Consider the following 19,097-nt stretch of genomic DNA (forward strand, 5'->3'; position numbering starts at 1 on the left):
CATGGGATATTCTTTTTTTTTTTTTTTGAGGTGGAGTTTTGCTCTTGTTGCCCAGGCTAGAGTACAGTGGTGCGATCTCGGCTCACTGCAACCTCCGCCTCCTGGATTCAAGCAATTCTTCTACCTTAGCCTCCCGAATAGCTGGGATTACAGGCATGCGCCACCACACCCGGCTAATTTTGTAGTTTTAGTAGAGATAGGGTTTCTCCATGTGGTCAGGCTGGTCTCGAACTCTCTACCTCAGGTGATCTGCCTGCCTCGGCCTCCCAAAGTGCTGGGATTACAGGTGTGAGCCACTGCGCCTGGCACACATGGGATATTCTAATTAGAAATATTGAAAACTTTAACTTTTGAATCTCTTGGCTGCAAACTTCTCAATTATTAAATACTTCTAAATAGGAATCTTTGAAACACATTAGTTAAACTAAAATTTATTTTGAATAGATGGAAAACAGTATTACTTCTCTAAAGAAGAGTTTTTGAGAGTAATTATCAATATATTCTAAAAATCAGTATTTAGACTTTTAAAATTTAGATTTGTTATAAGAACATAACTTGGTCTGAAGATTATCCTATTATGAGGGAAGCAGGAAGTGGGGTATGGTTGAAAGGAAGAAAATAGGCCGGGTGCAGTGGCTCACGCCTGTAATCCCAGTGCTTTGGGAGGCTAAGGCAGGTGGATCACCTGAGGTCAGGAGTTTGAGACCAGCCTGGCCAACATGGAGAAACCCCATCTCTACTAAAAATACAAAATTAGCCAGGTGTGGTGGCACATGCCTATAATCCCAGCTACTCAGGAGGCTGAGACAGGAGAATCGCTTGCACTAGGAGGCAGAGTTTGCAGTGAGCTGAGATTGTGCCATTGCACTCCAGCCTGGGCAACAAGAGTGAAAACTCTGTCTCAAAAAAAAAAAAAAAAAAGAAGAAGAAAGGAAGGAAGAAAATAAGCAACTGCATGCAGTAAATCAAAATGCAACAAAATCTTTACCTTTTTGGTGGAAATTATTAAGTATTTTTGACTATTTTAGAAATACTGATACACAAACAACATACTTGAATTTAAACATGGGCAACCTACACTTTGAGAAGCTGATTAAAATCATTTTTCACCAATAATATGACATAGGAGAGAATGCAATTAATCTAATTTTGAACCTGAGAAACAAAAACTAAAAAAAAAAAAAAGATTCAAATTATCAGTAATTGTGGAATAACCCTCCTCCCCTTTTGAATTAAGAAGAGGTTTTTTCTTTTTTTTTTTTTTAATTTTAAATAGTGAATTTTTTCTTGTCCTTGACAGAGACTGTGGCAGCCAGCCATGGGGCCATGCTCTGATGCCCCTGGTGGTAGTTCCCACTGCTTCCCAAATTCTGTCCCAGCCCCAAGGGTGAGCTCCTGTAGGATGGCAAGAAGGAGAGGGGCTGAGGCTGTATGAAAGAGGTGTACTCCTCCTCCCTCCCCCTGGAAGAAAGGAAGGACGAAAGGATGGAGATTGTTAGACCCTGTGTATGGAGGGACAAACTCACCTTTTTTAAGACATGAAAAAAATATTGGCCTGTAAGCATATTGAGATACATTGCTAACACCTTTTCATTTTTCTTCTGGGCATATTTACATTTATTATTGTATTAGTCCATTCTTGCACTGCTATAAGTAAATGCTTGAAACTGGGTAATTTATAAAGAAAGATGTTTAATTGGCTCATGGTTCCACAGGCCGTACATGAAGCATAGCTGAGGAGGCCTCAGGAAACTTTCAATCATGGTAGAAAGGAAGCAGGCACATTTTGCCCAGCCAGAGCAGGAGGAAGGGAGCACAGAGGGAGGTGCTACACACTTAAATAATCAAATCTCATGAGAACTCACTATCACAGGAACAGCAGGAGGGAAATGCATCTCATGATCCAATCACCTCCTACCAGGCTCCTCCTCCCACACTGAGGATTACAATTTGACATGAGATTTGGGTGGGAACACAAATCTAAACCATATCATTCCACCTCTGGCACCTCCCAAATCTCATGTCCTTCTCACATTGCAAAATACAATCATCCCTCCTTAACAGTCGCCCAAGTCTTGACACATTTCAGCATTAACTCTGAAGTCCACTTTCCAAAGTCTCATCTAAGACAAGGCAAGTCCGTTCTCCCTGTGAGCCAGTAAAATAAAAAACAAGTTAGTTACTTCCAAGATACAATGACGGTACAGGCATTTGGTAAACACACCCATTCCAAAAGGGATAAATCATCCTAAAGAGAGGGACTACAGGCCCTGTGCAAGTCTGAATCCTAGCAGGAGAGTCATTACATCTTAAAGCTCCAAAATAATCTCCTTTGACTTCATGTCTCACATCTAGGCCACGCTGATACAAGGGGTGGGGTCCCAAGGCATTTCCCCTCCGCACTGCCCTAGTAGAGGTTCTCCATGAGGGCTCCACTCCTTCAGTAGACTTCTGTCTGGACATCCAGACATTTCCATACCATACCTCCTCTAAAATCTAGGCAGAGGCTCCCAAGCCTCAACTCTTGCCCTCTGCATACTCACAGGCTTAACAGCAAATGGAAGCTGCCAGGGCTTATGGCTTATACTGTCTAGAGCAACTGCCTGAGATATATCTGGGGCCGTTTTAGCTACAGCCACAGCTGGAGCTGGAGTGGCTGGGAGTCAAGGATCTGTGTCCTGAGGGTGCGCAGGGAAATGAGGCCCTGGGCCTGGCCCATGAAACCATTCTTTCCTCCTGGGCCTCTGGGTCTGAGATGGGAGGGGCTGCCATGAGGTCTCTGAAATGCCTTTGAGGCATTTTACTCATTGTCTTGGCTATTAATATTTGTCTCCTCTTTACTTATGCAATTGTCTATAGCCAGCTTGAGTTCCTCCCCTGAAAATGGTTTTTCCTTTTCTACCACATGGTCAGGATGCAAATTTTTCAAACTTTTACACTCTGCTTCCCCTTTGAATATAAGTTCCAGTTTTCAATCATTTCTTATTCACGAATATGAGAATAGGCTGCTAGAAGCAGCCAGGCTATGTCTGGAATCCTTTGCTGCTTAGAAATTTCTTCTGCCAGATACCCTAAATCATTACTCCCAAGTTCAAAGTTCCACAGATCCCTAGGGCAGGGGCACAATGCCTCCAACCTCTTTGTGAACTCATAACAAAAGTGACCTTTGTTCCAGTTCCCAATAAGTTCCTCATCTCCATCTGAAACCTCCTCAGCCTGAACTTTGTCAGTATCAATATCAGCATTTGGTCACAACAATTTAACAAGTACCTAGGAGGTTCCAAACTTTCCCTCATCTTCCTTTCTTCTTCTGAGCCCTCCAAACTGTTCCAACCTTTGCCTATTACCCAGTTCCAAAGCTGTTTCCACATTTTCAGGTATCTTTATAGCAATGCCCTACTCCTGGTACCAATTTTTTGTATTAGTCTGCTCTCATACTGCTAAAAAGAAATACCTGAAGCTGGGTAATTTATAAAGAAAAGACGTTTAATTGGCTCATGATTCCATAGGCTGATCAGGAAGCATGGCTGAGGAGGCCTCAGGGAACTTTCAATCATAGTGGAAGGGAAGCAGGCACATCTTACATGGCTAGAATAGGAGGAAGAGAGTGAAGGGGGAGGTGTTACACACTTTTAAACAACCAGATCTCATGAGAACTCACTATTGTGAGAAGAGCAAGAGGGAAATCTGTCCTCATGATCCAGTTACCTCCCACCACACCCCTCCTCCAACACTGGTGATTGCAATTTGACATGAGATTTGAGTGGGGACACAAATCCAAACCATATCAATAATATATATACAGAGATAAACATATTTTAAGTATTACAGGAATTATTTATGCAGTTTTGAATCACAAATATGATTAAACTTTCTTTAAAAATATTATTTTTAATGGCTGCATAATATTCCCTAGTATCTTTTATAATGTATCTACTTTCCTGATGTTGAGTATTTAGTATATTTCAGACTTTTGTTATTTCAAACTCATGTTGATTTGAACAATTTTATCAATAAATCTTGGTCTGTATCTCAGATGATTTCAGTAGGAGAGATTCCTAGAAATGGATTTACTGGTCTAAGAAAGTTAACATTATAAAGCTCTTATCGCATATTACAAAAACCTTCTAAGGAAGCTTGTATCATTCTACTTTCAGCTGGCAGTATATGGGTCTGCCAATTTCACCAAACTACCTCAACAATTGAATATTATTATTTAAAAATTACTGTTAATTTGAAAGGCAATGATAACTATTTTAATTTGGCTTTTTTGGTTACCTATGAAGTTGAGTATCTCAATATATCAATTGATAGTCATAATTCAAGGACATTTAAACTATGCATAAAATATATGGGATGGTTAAAAGTCAGCAATAATGTAGTTTTCCCTTATCTGCAGGGAGTATGTCCCAAGACACCCAGTGGATGCCTGAAACTGCAGATAGTAGCAAACCCTATGTACACTAAGCTTTTTCCTATACATACATACCTATGATAAAGCTTAATTTATAAATTATGCACAGTAAGAGATTAACAATAATAATAAAATAGAACAATTATAACAACATACTGTAATAAAAATTATGAGATATTTTCCCACTCTGAAAATACCCTTCTTGTCATGATGTGAGATGATAAAATGCCTGTGTTATGAGGTGAAGTGAGGTGAATGATACAGACATTGCAATGTAGCATAAAGCTACTATTGACCTTCCTATGTCAGAAGGAGGATTATCTACTTCGAGTGATGCTTGGATCATCAAGCCATGATGATGTTGATGGCTGGATATTAGGAGTAGATGATGGATGTTGTTGATTAGTAGGCAGGTCATGTATAACAGATGGATATGCTAAACAAAGGGAATAATCTTTGCACAGCAAAGATGGGCAAAGGCAGGCTGGAGTGGATGTTGTGAGATTTCATCATGCTACTCAAAACAGCACACGGCAGGGCCGGGCATTGGTGGCTCATGCCTGTAATTCCAGCACTTTGGGAGGCCGAGGCAGGCAGATCACGAGGTCAAGGAGTTCTAGACCAGCCTGACCAACATGGTGAAACCCCATCTCTATTAAAAAATACAAAATTAGCCAGGCGTGGTGGCGCATGCCTGTAATCCCAGCTACTCAGGAAACTGAGGTAGGAGAATTGCTTAATCTCAGGAGGCAGAGGTTGCAGTGAGCCAAGATCACGCCACTGCACTACACCCTGGGTGACAGAGCGAGACTCCGTCTAAAAAAAATGAAAAACAAAAAACCAACCAAACAAAAACAAAAACAGCATATGGTTTAAAACTTACGAACTGTTTATTTCTGGAAGTTTCCATTTAATAGTTTTGGAAAGAGGTTGGCTATAGGTAACTGAAACCACTTAAAGTGAAACTGTGGCTAAGGGAGAGGTTATGATACAAGCTTAATGACCTTTTATAAGTAATTTCTTCTCTTTCTATAGTTTGGACGTCTGTCAAGAAGAAGGAAGAATTGCTTTTCTAGTTGTTTTGTAAGAATGTAGGAATGGTCAACTTAAATAATGAATATGTTATACTACAGTGGCTCACTGCATGCATGTGAGTTTGAAATGTATCTCTAATACCTAATATATTTGTAATACTCTTAGCCTTGGTTTTCTCATGCTTAAAATCAGGTTAATAATAGAGCCTATCTAGAAAGGTTGTTTTAAGAATTAAGTGAAGTAGTACATATAGTGTTTAGTAGAGGGCTTTGTGCATATCAACACCCAATAAATGCGTTATTAGTAGTGTTATGTGAAAATAATATAAAACATTTCATAAATGTAAGATTTTATTTATAATTCAGATAATACGTCAATTATCCAATTTGTTTAGGGGCTTTGTTTTTTCCCTGGCATTGGTTTATGTGGAAATATTTGCAAAATTTTTAATGATAAAATGTTCTGAAAATAGTCATGAATACTGTAGGGGATGAAAAGATTTTCCTCAACTCTTTTAGGGTTCTTGGCTGGATCTGAACAGAAAATTGACAGACAGATTAATAGCAGAAGAGTATGCTCTGTGGCTCAAGCTGGAGTGTGGAGTGCAGTGGCACAATTGCGGCTCAGGGCAGCCCTGAACTACAGGGCTCAAGTGATCCTCCCACCTCAGCCTTCTGAGTAGTTAGGAATACAGGTGCAAGCCACCATGTCCAGTGATTTAAATTAAGTTTTATATGACACAAGAGCCTTTATAAAAAAATAGAAATCCAAAGAATCAGTTTTAATTTTTTTGACTCATTTATCTTTTAGCCAGTCTGAATATAACTTCAAGAAATTTTATAAATTAATTTGGTAATACCATCCAGAGGAAGAGAAACATCCCATATATTTAACATACATACATAGGGACATACATAATCATGCAGAAAAATGCAGAACAAGCCATGTAGCTTTCATTTTAAAGTTTTAGTCATGTGTCAGGTACAATAATACAGAACTCACTCGTTTATAAAAGAATAGCTAGATCCAAATTGTGTTTCTGGTTGATGGAACAAGTTAAAGTTACCTGCCTAGATGACTAAAACTTTACTATTTGTAGAAAAGACTTTTAAGATTTTTCATCTGCCCAATTTGCTTCCAAATAACTCCTTTCCCCCAGCCTCAAGTCCAGGGGAAGATTATTTACATTTCAAAGGCATGGAGTAAGAATTTTTTCCAAGAGGGAGTTTTGGGTCATATTTTCCGATAATCAGAGCTCTAGTATAATTACTCTTTAGAAAAATTTCCCTCTTTTTCTTAAGTGTAGGACAGGTCCATTTTCCATGATCTGACCTTTTACAATATCTGCAAGCATCTTGAGATAAATAGGTGAGGTTTGGGTATTGTTAAAGAGGATTGGTGGACTTTAAATTGCCTCTGCAGTTCCATTTCTGTTTTTGTAAAGACTCAATTTATTAGGTCAGGATAGTGACTTAATTCCTCCAAGCACTGGGTCATAGCCTAAATGATATTAAGGGGCTGACTCATTTATCCTCTGCATTATCTTCCATTTCTTCCTTTATATCAGGGAGCAGATTACCAACTAAGAAATCAAAAGAGTCTTATGTTCTAGATTTAGAGCGGTGTGTCTTTGTTTTAATAAATTCTTCCACAAAATCTTCAGACTTTTTTTCCTCTCTGAATATATAGTTCTATCTTAGCTTAGAAGGCCTTAAAAATGGTCCTCAGGCTCTTAATGTCAGCCTTCAATTTGACCAACTTCTGACAGTTAAAACTAATGTTATCAGGTATCAGCCAGAAAAAAATAATAAACATTCCTGGCAGCATGGAACTCCTCTCTTTCTCTCTCTTAGACCAAAGGTATCTATCAAGTGACTCAACACCAGAATGAATCAACCTTTTATGACTTAGCCATGGATGCGAAAGGTGTCCTCAAAAGAGGGTGCAAAAAGATGCAGCCCTCTCAAGATCCAAAACCACTCCTAAGAGCCAAAAGAAATACAGGTAACTTGCGCCTGGAGAGCTGGCAACAGTTGGTATATTAGAATTGTGAACTCATATTTTTATCTTGCTATGTATTTGGGTCCCTACAACCTTTCATTTGGGCACCTGTATATGCAGACCCCATAACCTACGTGCCCCAACAAGTGGAAAGTCAAGCCAAGCAATCGAGACACAAGATGAGACAACTGGAAAGCAATAGCTGTCCTTGGGAGGGAAAGGATCAATAACTAATGGGTAACCCAACTTAACCAAATTTTTAACTAGAGTCACAATATAAAAGAACTAACTTTTAAAAGTGTTGTTTACTGCTAATCTGGATTTGGAAAGAAAAAGATTCTTACCACTTTTGCTCCACCAGGCCCTGAAGGCAGAGACTCAACACTGATGTAAGAATTTTTACCTTCTGCTGGCTTTTGTCAGATGGGAAGTCCAGGATCTTTGAACAGCAGCTTCTGGACTGAGCAAGGTGTCCCCAGCTGATGTGGCCCTTCATTGGGTACCAGAAGCTCTAGGGGAGGAAGAGATTTTCCTTCACTGTCTTAGGGTTCCTGGCTGGGTTTGAAAGAAAAACTGACAGATTAACAGGAGAAACCATACCGATTTATTTAACATGTTGTATGTAACATAATAGCCTTCACAGGGAAGCAAAGACCCAAAGAAATAGTTGACTATATGTATTTTTATGCTAGGTTTGATGAAGAGTAGACAGTTTAGGAGAAAAATGTTTGGAAAGGGGTATAATCTAACAGTAGTAAACCAGGGGAAACTTAGCAAGGTTCAGATTGTTCTCTGTGTCTCTGTATCTTCAGAGAGAAGGATGTTCCTTTCCTCTGTGTATAGGGTGGGCACTTCCCACATGAGGGTCTCATGACTGGCTTCAGGAAAAGGTCGTAAAATCCTTCCTAGGTATTATGATCTGCTTCAGGGAAAAAGGATGAGAGAAGGTTAGAGAGAGCTTCCTGCTTCTGATATTTCTCAAATGCCAATGGATCATGTTGTGGGGTAGTTTTCTAAACCCCATTAATATAAAAATCACAGGATCCAAAAATACATTTGCTTGCAATGCATGTTACCATCAGGGATAATATGTTATATTGAACATTCCTGATGGTATTTTCCTTATCTTTTCTAAAAATATGCAGTTAAAGAGTGAGTTCAAAATCATGAACAATGTTAACTAGGCACAAAAAACTGGACTCAAATAAATTAGCATTGCAAGTAATTCACAGAAATTAGTGCATTGAATAACATTAGGAGAAATTCACATTTTATTTATGGGTTGGGTAGTGGTTCTTTCCAAGGAAAATTTGTAACAGTGACTCTGATTGATCTTTGGTCCTGAATTTCTAAATGCAGGAACACAAAAGGTTGCTATTAACATAGCCTTGGGGAAGAAGGAAGAAAGAAACTAACAGAGTTTCCGATATTGCTCTGTCTGCACTGATATTCTGGAAAGCAAGGAAAAAATGGAGGGGAAGGTACAAATCTGCATTTTTTTTCCCCCAACAGAATGCCTCTCCTGCTATTTTCATTTAGCCCCAAGGTTTTAGAGAGATCAATACGGATACTTTCCAGGGAAGGAAATAAGACAGGAACATGTGCCCTAGTGGAACTGCTTAGAATACTGAATAGTTTTTGACATAGCTTGATGCAGAGGCAAGGTAATACTCTCCAAGGAGAGAATTGCTACTATAGTCTGAAGCTCATGGGGGAAAAAAGAAAAACTAAATAAAAGCTGGAGGGAAAATCAGTGGAAGTTTTTACTCCTCCCTGCCTCTCAAGTTCAAAAATAGGATGGTGAGTTGAGAATACAGGAGCTCAGAAAGAGCACTTGACTCATGAAAACTGTTTTCCACCGCATCATCACTACAGCAGAGGGCAGTGAAAATGCCTCTGCCTCTATTGAAAATCAAAATTCATTCTTTAGGGTAATATTTGCTTTCTTTCCTGTTTCATTTGATGGTTGCACTGCTGACATGGATTCATGATGGTTACTAAAATATTCACTGCAAATAGCTGGGGTGAAACAGTCTCATACGCTGCTATTCTTTTACTCCTCTGGATTAACCTTTCTCAGGCAACCACAGCATTGTAAACACCCCTCAGCATTAAATAAAAAACAGCAGTGTGCAGGTTGAAATGATTGCTTTAGCTTTTTTTCTGGACCAACGTGTGACTTGTTTTATTTGGCATTCCCCAACTGTTTAACAATCATGCACAGCTGAAAACTTTGCTTTTACTGTCTTTCCCACGTTTAATGAGGTCCAGGGAAAAATACTCATGCCTCTCTCTTTTTTTCACTTTAAAGGTCAAGATTTGAATCAGAATCAAATTTGGAAGGTCGATGTTCAAAGGTTACTGCTTTAACCTATAAAGTGTCAAGAAAACCTGGACAATTGCATAGAGGGGCAAAAATTAAGTCAAGATTGGTTTAAAAACTTGCATGTATAATGTGACATTGTGGCTGAGAATTTAAACTCATAAAAATCAGGAAAGTCAAAATTATGATCCTCCCAGCTATCATTATTTGTTCCTTTCACACATGATAGTATTTTATGTCCTATATTTACTGTTATATTTATGTCCTTGTATAGAATATGCCAAGTTATAGTTACTAGGGGAAGCATAACTTTCCATTTCTAACTTTCCTGCATTTTAATTCTTCAGCACAGTTAGCACTAGATTTCCTTCCTTTTCTCCTCCTTTGATTTCTTAAAGAAAAGAAAATGTTTATCATCATTAGATAATTACTCTGTGGACATATTAGTTTTATTAGCAACAATGAAGTCTTCTCTATATTTTATTGCCATATTGACTTCTTTTCAGAAGCAAAAATATGCTTCTTGGATTTGCTTTTTTTTGTTAAATATTTCTTCTGTTTATTGGCAATTTTATTTGTGCTAATGAGGTGACCATGCATCTCCCTATTTTAACTGTTCACTGATGTTGGGACTTAGGTATTTGTGGGTCAGGCTGCAAGGAACATAGCATGTTTCCTTTGTTGGGGAGAAGAGCTTTCTGCAGCTTACAGATGGGGTCTGCAAAATCCAGCAATCCTTTGTGGAGGAGGCAGACAGTAGCTTGGTGACTCTCTGAAGGGTGCTGACACCCTATTCCAGCACTGTTCATAGCTTCCTATACATTGTTTTATGATTATTTCAGCAGACACTGTAAGATTTGAAAAATGAAAATAGTAAATACACATCGGCGTGCAATTTCACAAGAGTAAAAAATGTAAGAGAAAATAACTGTCAGGCCTCTGAGCCCAAGCTAAGCCATCATATCCCCTGTGACCTGCACGTATACACCCAGATGGCCTGAAGTAACTGAAGAATCACAAAAGAAGTGAAAATGGCCTGTTCCTGCCTTAACTGATGACATTCTACCATTGTGATTTGTTCCTGCCCCACCTTAACTGAGTGATTAACCTTGTGAAATTCCTTCTCCTGGCTCAGAAGCTCCCCCACTGAGCACCTTGTGACCCCTGCCCCTGCCCGCAAGAGAACAACACCCTTTGACTGTAATTTTCCACTACCCACCCAAATCCTATAAAAAAAATGGCCCCACCCCTATCTCCCTTTGCTGACTCTTTTCTGACTCCGCCTGCCTGCACCCAGGTGAAATAAACAGCCTTGTTGCTCACACAAAGCCTGTTTTTTGGTCTCTTCACACGGACGTGTGTGACAATAACTAATTTTCAGTAGATTGGATATTGTTCTAGTTTCACAAAAGAAAGTGCTGCAGATTTGTGGTACAGATCATCTGAGTAAACTACCTTCACCAAACTGGGCAATAGGAATGTGTTTAGAGACAAAAAATGTCTTCAGAGTCACTTGCAGGCCCTATTTATTTAGAATGATGTAATATATAGTGGAAGGAATTTTGGAATCAGATGGATCTGTATTCAAATTTTGACTCTTAATACAAAGAAATTACTTTGGATAAGTGACTTAACCTCTCTGAATCCTGATCACCTAACTTACCAAAATGGTAATAATTGTACCTTCTCATAGAGTGTATAAAGATTGAGTAATATATATAAATCAGCTATCACACAGCAGGTTCTCATAAATGTACAGCAGTGTGATGAGATGCAAGACTGCCTGGGTTTGAATTCAGGCTGTGCCCCTCAGTAGCTGTGTGATCATGGGCTAGTTGGTCAATCTCTTGTTTCACTTTTCTTATCTGTAAAATAGGGATAACCATAGTCCTTATATCATGGACTTCTTGTGAAGACTAGTTGATGATTATACCAGTTTAGGTAAATCACTTAGAACAGCGCCTGGCATATCTTAAGCACTATATTGATGTTAGCTAATAACGCCATTGCTCCTTTCTAGATATAAAAACTGATCTGAGAAATTTCTTTCTTATTAGACTTTCTGAAAAATTTCCAAATTACCTAATTTGCTTTCCAGCATTTGGAATTTTCCCCCATGAAAAATAATTCACTTTTAACTTATCTCCAATATCTGGTAAAATCGATGGGTATTTGAGTCTAGAGTTACAAACAAAGGCAAAGCTTTGCCCAGCTTTGTTATGATGACACTAATTGCCATCATGGCACCTTATAAAACCATTTTTTCTTAATATACCTTTCAGAAATCTTATTAATTAGTCAGATTTTGATTTACCTTATTTAAATCATGACTTTGCACAAATTACCATAAAAATAAATGCCCCCAAATTTAATATAAATTGTTGATCTTTAATTATATTGTTACCTTCCTTAGAAACAATATATATACTTATTCTTGATCACATAAATGTTATCTTATAAATAGCTCTTCTTTCTTTGCTTTTGGCATTTCTTCAACCCTTACTTAGTCTTTAAGTACAATTTCTTTGCTTTTCAGATTTAACTCTCCTAATACTTGCCTTCCTTTAAGCCTCAAGCATGTAACTCACTCATTTCTTCATATTCATGAAACACTTTGATTTCTTTGGCAAAAATCTACTTGATAGCTAAGAAATTGTTTATTCACTTTTATTGTTGCTTTATTTAATGAATATTTATTGAGCACCAGGGACTAGGGGTATTTATGTTATGCCAGGGACTAGGCGTATTTAGAACATGCGCTAGGCTTGGATATAGTGGTATTCCTAACCTTTCCATGGTGCTTTTACAAATTCCATATCAGTGCTGTCCAGGAGAAGTATAACGCAAGCCAAATGTGCAATTTTAAATTTTCTTTTAGCCATATTTAAAAAGTGAAAAGGAAACAGGTGACATTAATTTTAATAATACATTTAACCTCATATATCCAAAGTTTTATTTCGCCATAAGAATTATTTAAAAACTGATGAGATATTTTCCATTCTTTTGCGTACTAAGTCTTTAAAATCTGATGTGTATTTTACATCTACAGCACATTTAAATTCTGACTAGCCATATTTCTATTGCTCAATAGATGCATAGAGCTGTTAGCTACCAAACTGAACAGCACAGGATCCTTTAAGACAGGAAACTATAGTCAAACACTGCAGCGTAATGTGGGATGAAATAGCATCAAAGCAATATAAGGAGCATATTTTCCTCAGCCCTCAGTAAAATGTCCTTTTATATTTTCTTCTAAATCAATACATGCCGACATTCCTAAGTTAGAAATTAGCATTGAAAATAAATTGTTTAAATCAATGATTTTTCATGAGACTGTTATAATTAATAGGAAAGCCATTTATAGTTGAGACAGTCTTGGGGATTGAACCGTTATTACCTCTGATGAATTAAAAAACTTCTGGATTTAAAAAAATGGCTGGAGTTTAGGTTTTGGGTTAGCATAAATTGAACTGGGAATAAATTCCTGGAGTCTAAGGTGAGATGAAACTTTTTTTTTTGGCTTTGAAGAAAGTAACATTGAAACACACAGGATCAAAGATAAAGTATATACCAGCAGGACACACTGGCGATGAAGGATATTTCATCTTCAAGACACTCACATTTTCAACGAATCCAAGGGAGCTCTGAAATTCACTTATAAAAGCCTGACAGTAATGGCTTGAGCAGGGCTACCCACCAGCCCTGGAGGTGTTTCAGTACACTGGTTAGAATATTATCTTATATTTCAAGGTGAATCCTGGTTTCCATGGAAATCTACAAGTGTGTACTACAAGTCAGGCATTTAGAAACCTTAAAAAGGGCCCCCCCCAAAAAAAAGGAAAAAGGAAGGTGCAAATAAAAAACGTGTGATCCCCACCCCGCCCCCCCGCCAAGGGAGGCCAAAATAACATGCATTGAAACAAAACACACAAAAAGTTTTATTAGTTTATTTTCTGCTTGGAGTAGTTACCCACTATTTCCTTTGCTGCTGCTTTTATGCGGAGAATATGGATTAAAACACACAACTTAAATTTAGTGAAATTGAAGTTACTTAGCCTGTCCCCTCTTTGATAAAATCTTTTTCTTCACATGAAAAGAATGAATGTTCTTTCACTTCCCTGAATCTACTCATGTCATTGTGTATTTACCGTGATTACAGTCTTGGTGGTAGTTGACTATTGTATGCGCATGTCAGCCTATTTTGGGAGCAGTAGAATGAAATGAGTAGTAAGCTTGTGAGTTCCTTCTCGGGACATCAACTGCCCTGTTTTCATCATTGATTGCTGTAGCAGTTCCACATTTTGGTATAAGGGAAGAACTTGGCCCTAAAGAGTGTGAGAGGATATCTATACAGGTTTATGATATTCTTTTATTGTTGAGTGGAGGGGAGCTATACAAAAATTTCTCTGAGCAAAAGTGTGCTATAAATCCATGGTGGAAAAGGTAGGGGTCTGAGGGAGAAAAGCTCCTATACCATCATTTTCACTATGGCCATTACCCATAAGAAATGTGAAATAAAAAGAAGAGTAAGCCGAGTGAAAATTAACTTTAAGTCATAGAAACTGACAAGCGGTTTCTGTGATTTAGAGTAGAGTCATGTCAAGTTCCAGTGTTGAAATAAGAAACATAGAGGACAGGCATTTTTATGTTGTCTGTAATTGGACAAGTGAAGAAAATGATTTGTTGAAGGTGATGCTAATGACATCAAACCAATGTCAAACTGTGTGCTGGGAGCAAAAAAAAAAAAAAGAATGGAGAAGGAACATATTGTGCCCAGCTTGAGTTTATGAGGAAAAGGATTTTGTGCCAGAGAACTTTTTGTGACCACAAAAATGTAAATGTGGAGAATTATCTCTCTGGCTTACTTTTTAAAATTTTTATCAGCATCACCTCTCTTGTGCAGGCTACATGTGTTCTGTTTTGCAGAACGCACTCCCAGCTTGTCTTGCATTGTTATTGCAGGTGGTATTTAAAAATTACCAATTTCCAATTATGATAACATATACCTTGCAGTCCTGTTGGACTGAAGATAACTTTATGTTTCAAAATAGTCAAGCAATTTTAGTGATAATTTTTTAGTAATCATTAGGGTTACATTTTATTTCCCACCCTCCCAGACAGCTTTCATCTCTGGACCATACTCAGTATGAAAATAATCATTCATCTGCTTCACTCACTTTTGCTGCCTCTTTCTGCCCATCCCATTTTCCCCATGGCTTAACCTTGGGGAAGAGTCTATTGCTTTTTCTTTCTGTTAGGACTGAACATTCTTCTCCAGCCAATAACAAAGGAGCTTCTGTATTTTTAAAGAAATCTCATGAAATCAAACATAAACAGAATAGAAAAAAACTGAATATTTAATTTCATATCAAACCTCTAACCTGAGATTAAAAAATTCTCATATGTGCCCAATTTCCTAAGAAGCCCCATTTAAAATATTCTGACCTAATGTCAGACCATATGTTAGGCAAGGTCTCCCTATTTGAGAAGTGCAATAATTATATCCTCAGAAGGTCTGTGGCTTGATATTGAGCAGGCCTGCACTAATTCCATATAGACTGTGGGCAAGGGTTGCAAATCCTTACCTATATTTTCTAGAGAAATTATCCAACCATGTTTTATTCTTTGAGAAGATCAGAGGCATGGAGTGCGGTAAGACCTGAGAAAATATTTAGAATTCTATAGGAAGGACAATTGCCATGAGCAACTCTAACAGTTGTTCTCAGATGGGCATTCCTAATATTTTTATTCAAAAAATAATTTGGATGATCTCTGTTCCATTGTGCTAGAAGTTAAAGGAAGCTTTAGTAAGTGAAATTCATAGAAAATCTGTCTTATTTTAGCCAACACCTTTATCTGTTGCTTCCTTTTTAATTACTAAAACTATTTACATTCTGTATAGGCAGTAAATTATATGGTTCAAAATTCAAAAGTACAAAGGCTATTTATTACAGATTTCCCTTCTTACCTCTGCCCCTCAGCTGCATAATTCTTCTCAGTGCAGTTAACTAATGTTATCAGTTTCTTGTGTATCCTTTATTTCTTCTTGAGCATCTTAGTCACTTTGAGTTGCTGTAACAAATTACCATAGACTAGATGGCTTATAAACAACAGAAATGTATTTCTCACAGTTCTGGAAGCTAGAAGTTAAAGATCAGGGTGCCAGCATGGTTGGTTCAGGTTGAAGACTGCCAGCTTCTCATTGTGTCCTTACAGCGTGGAAGGAAAGCAAGCAAGCTCTCTGGCTTCTGCTTTATGAGAGCACTAATCCTGTTCTCAAGGGCTCCCTCTCATGATCGATTAATAATTACCTCTCCAAAGCCCCATCTTTAAATACCATCACATTGGGGTTTAAATTTTAACATATGGCTTAAGGGGAGACACATTCAGTCCCTAACATTGGATAACTTTGTTATCAAATGTATATTTTCTCTATTTTTTAACACAAATATTTTCGTATTATCATTACACACATTGCTTCATACTACTCTTTTTTTTTTTTTTTTTTTTTTTGAGACGGAGTTTCACTCTGTTGCCCAGGCTGGAGTGCAATGGCACCATCTCGGCTCACCACAATCTCCAGCTCCCGGGTTCAAGTGATTCTCCTGCCTCAGCCTCCTGAGTAGCTGGGATTACAGGCATGCACCACCATGCCTGGCTAATTTTGTATTTTTAGTAGAGACAGGGTTTCTCCATTTTCGTCAGGCTGGTCTCGAACTCCCGACCTCAGGTGACCTGCCTGTCTCAGCCTCCCAAAGTGCTGGGATTACAGGTGTGAGCCACCATGCCTGGCCCATACTACTCTTTTTTTTAACCCAACAGTATACATTAAAGATCAATTCATTTTAATGTAGAAAAAGCTTTTTAATAATTTTTAAAATGACTAGTGTATTATTCTAATATATGTATATATTCTATATACATAGAATAATTACTATGTACAGTATATTATATACTATTATACTATGTATTATATACTATTATACTATGTATATACTATTATACTATGACTATATAGTATATTATTCTCTTATAAGCATATTCCTTAATTTATGTACTCAGTCCACTGTAATGTGAATATTTAGGTTGTTTACTCATTTTTGCTCTTATAAAAATGTTTTAATGCATCTTTTTTCTTTCTTTATTGTGTGAGTAAACCTATATGATATAGTCTTAGAAGTAGAAATTCTTGGTGTGTGTGTGTGTATATATATATATATATTTCTTTTTTATAATTTTGCCGAATACTGGAAACTATCTTCCACACAACTTTTGACATGTTATACCCATCAGCACTGCATGAGAGTGGCTGTTGCTGTACAATATCACCTATGGTATCTTATTAAAACTTTGGATCTTTACCAGTCTAGTAATGAATAATAGTTATCTTGGTATCCTTGTCTTTGTATTATTATGAGTGAACGTGGACATTGTTTCATTCATTTAAGAGACATATTTATTTCTCTAATGTAAATTAAGTGCTTATATATTTTTGTCAATTGCATAATGTGTTATTAGACTTTTGAAACTGATTTGTAGATACTCTTTATGTTTGAAATGGGAGATAAACTCTTTATGACATGGTTGTGTTTTTCTTCCAGTTTGTCATATATTTTGACTTTGCTTGGTGAATTTTGCCCAGGCAGAAATGTTTGATGTGTGTGCTGTTACATTTATCTATTTTTTAATTTTATGACTTCTGAGTTTTTTAATCATAGAAAGGCCTTTCTCTTTTGAGATTAGGATAAATTTTCCAAAGATGTCTTCTAGTACTTTTATAAAAATTTCCTCCTTTTAGAAACATGTGCAAAAACAAACCCCTAATTATCCTAAAGGTGGCCAAGGTAAAAATATCAAAAGGATGAGGCCCATTTGGCTTAGAAACAATTAAAAACCAACACTCATGAGTGGCTCTAAGAGGTTTCTCCTTGATTCTGCTTTCAGAGGTTATCTGCTGTGAACTGGGTCTTGTCTCACCCCTACTTTCCTCATCCACTGCTCTTGAAATGGAAGGCATCTGAAGTTGACAAAGATGTTATACAGGATAATTGAGGATAATGTCTCCCTCTTGCCCATGAATATAACTAAAATGAGAACTTAATATTAGTTTGTGCAGTGCTGTAGAAAGCAATTGGAGGCACATACACTGTGGAATAGATCTGATATCATTAATTTTAAAGTTAAATGCCTTCTCAGTGAGCTACCTGTGCAAGTAAATTAAATCAAACATTTAATGTTAGCTGTGCAGGTTACTTCATTTATGAAGGTTAAATAGCTGAATTTCAATGTAATTTTTTAGCCTTGCAATGGTGGAGATCTGGAAAACAATTTCTGATGTATGGACCCTTCTAAATTGCTTAAGGAAATTGTCAATGCATAGTAATTACTTATTTTCTCACCTTTTCAATGTCATAATAAAATAACTGCAGGTGGCAAGTAGCATAAATTAACTGCTTATTTGATTAGTTAAAAAACAAAAAATAATAATCCTTCTTTGTAACTATGAGAACAACATAGCTGATAAAAGAAATTCTAAATACTGGTTGCCTAAAGAATATAAAAAGATTATTTTTTTCCCTAAAATATAAAGATTTTTCATAGTTAAGAATATTTTTATTTTAATCAGCATCAAACATTTATATTGTTTAAGATTGTATAGCCATTATTAAATGTAGAATACACTGCAAGACTGTAGGCTTGCTATTTTAATTACAGCAGACTTATACCTTTCTAACACTTTCACACTCAATAAAATGTAGAGATCCTTTTCTGGCAAAGATTTTCTGGCTCAATACGAAAAATAAAATGTCATTACAGTCTGCCAGAGCAGCCCACCTGTATGGTCTGTCTCAGTGAAATGCCAATGGATTAATAAGGATGCTTGTATAGTAAGGGTAATTTAGGTGATACTTACCTGACAAGGGACCTCTCTTTACCATAGGACACTTGTTGGACTCTTCCAGATGGAAAGGAACAAAGATATGCATTATTCTTAGTTACTATTTTTTAAAGTCAATATTGACTGTTCTAGGAGTAAGGGAATGGAAAATAATGTCCACAGCTCCAGAGAGATGGGACTATTTTCCAGGGATTAGCAGATCAAAAAGTGTATAGCATCATTCCAGCCTCCGGTTAGAGAAACGAGGAGAGCAAGGAGACCTGTGAAGAGGCCATAGTTCTGGAGGGTGGGGCAATAGGGGATTGGACTAAGGTGGTGACACTGGGGAGAGAGAAGAGGGCAGAGTAAAGATCTGTCTTTTAGGCATAAGGGTTATGAGGGTTATGAGGCTGTGGTCACATTAAGTTTTCTCAATTAGAGGAGAA

At 37.3% G+C, this 19,097-nt stretch overlaps 2 long non-coding RNA genes across 4 annotated transcripts in view, besides 1 other annotated feature; one reads left to right on the forward strand and one right to left on the reverse strand.

The window, feature by feature from the left end:
* The window catches only part of LOC107986324 (uncharacterized), a 487,144-nt gene that overhangs the window by 43,956 nt on the left and 424,091 nt on the right, over nucleotides 1-19,097 (forward strand). The gene's annotated exons all lie outside the window — the stretch shown is intronic.
* LOC105379457 (uncharacterized) lies at nucleotides 1,984-15,878 on the reverse strand. 2 transcript variants are annotated; one of them, XR_001741913.1, is made up of 3 exons: nucleotides 15,742-15,878; nucleotides 7,854-7,961; nucleotides 1,984-2,148 (listed from the first exon to the last, which is right to left on the reverse strand). It is a non-coding gene; the product is annotated as an uncharacterized LOC105379457 (long non-coding RNA). The 2 variants fall into 2 exon arrangements; XR_007058485.1 differs by having other exon boundaries at nucleotides 7,854-8,005.
* Nucleotides 10,265-11,172: an enhancer, noted in NCBI's record as "OCT4-NANOG-H3K27ac hESC enhancer chr4:160515695-160516602 (GRCh37/hg19 assembly coordinates)". NCBI's record gives its function as "activates a minimal SCP1, AML or CMV promoter by ChIP-STARR-seq in naive H9 embryonic stem cells {active_cell/tissue: H9 hESC(naive)}" and the evidence as "EXISTENCE:reporter gene assay evidence [ECO:0000049][PMID:30033119]".

The sequence above is a fragment of the Homo sapiens genome, chromosome 4, assembly GCF_000001405.40.
Source record: "Homo sapiens chromosome 4, GRCh38.p14 Primary Assembly".
Classification (NCBI taxonomy): Eukaryota; Metazoa; Chordata; class Mammalia; order Primates; family Hominidae; genus Homo; species Homo sapiens.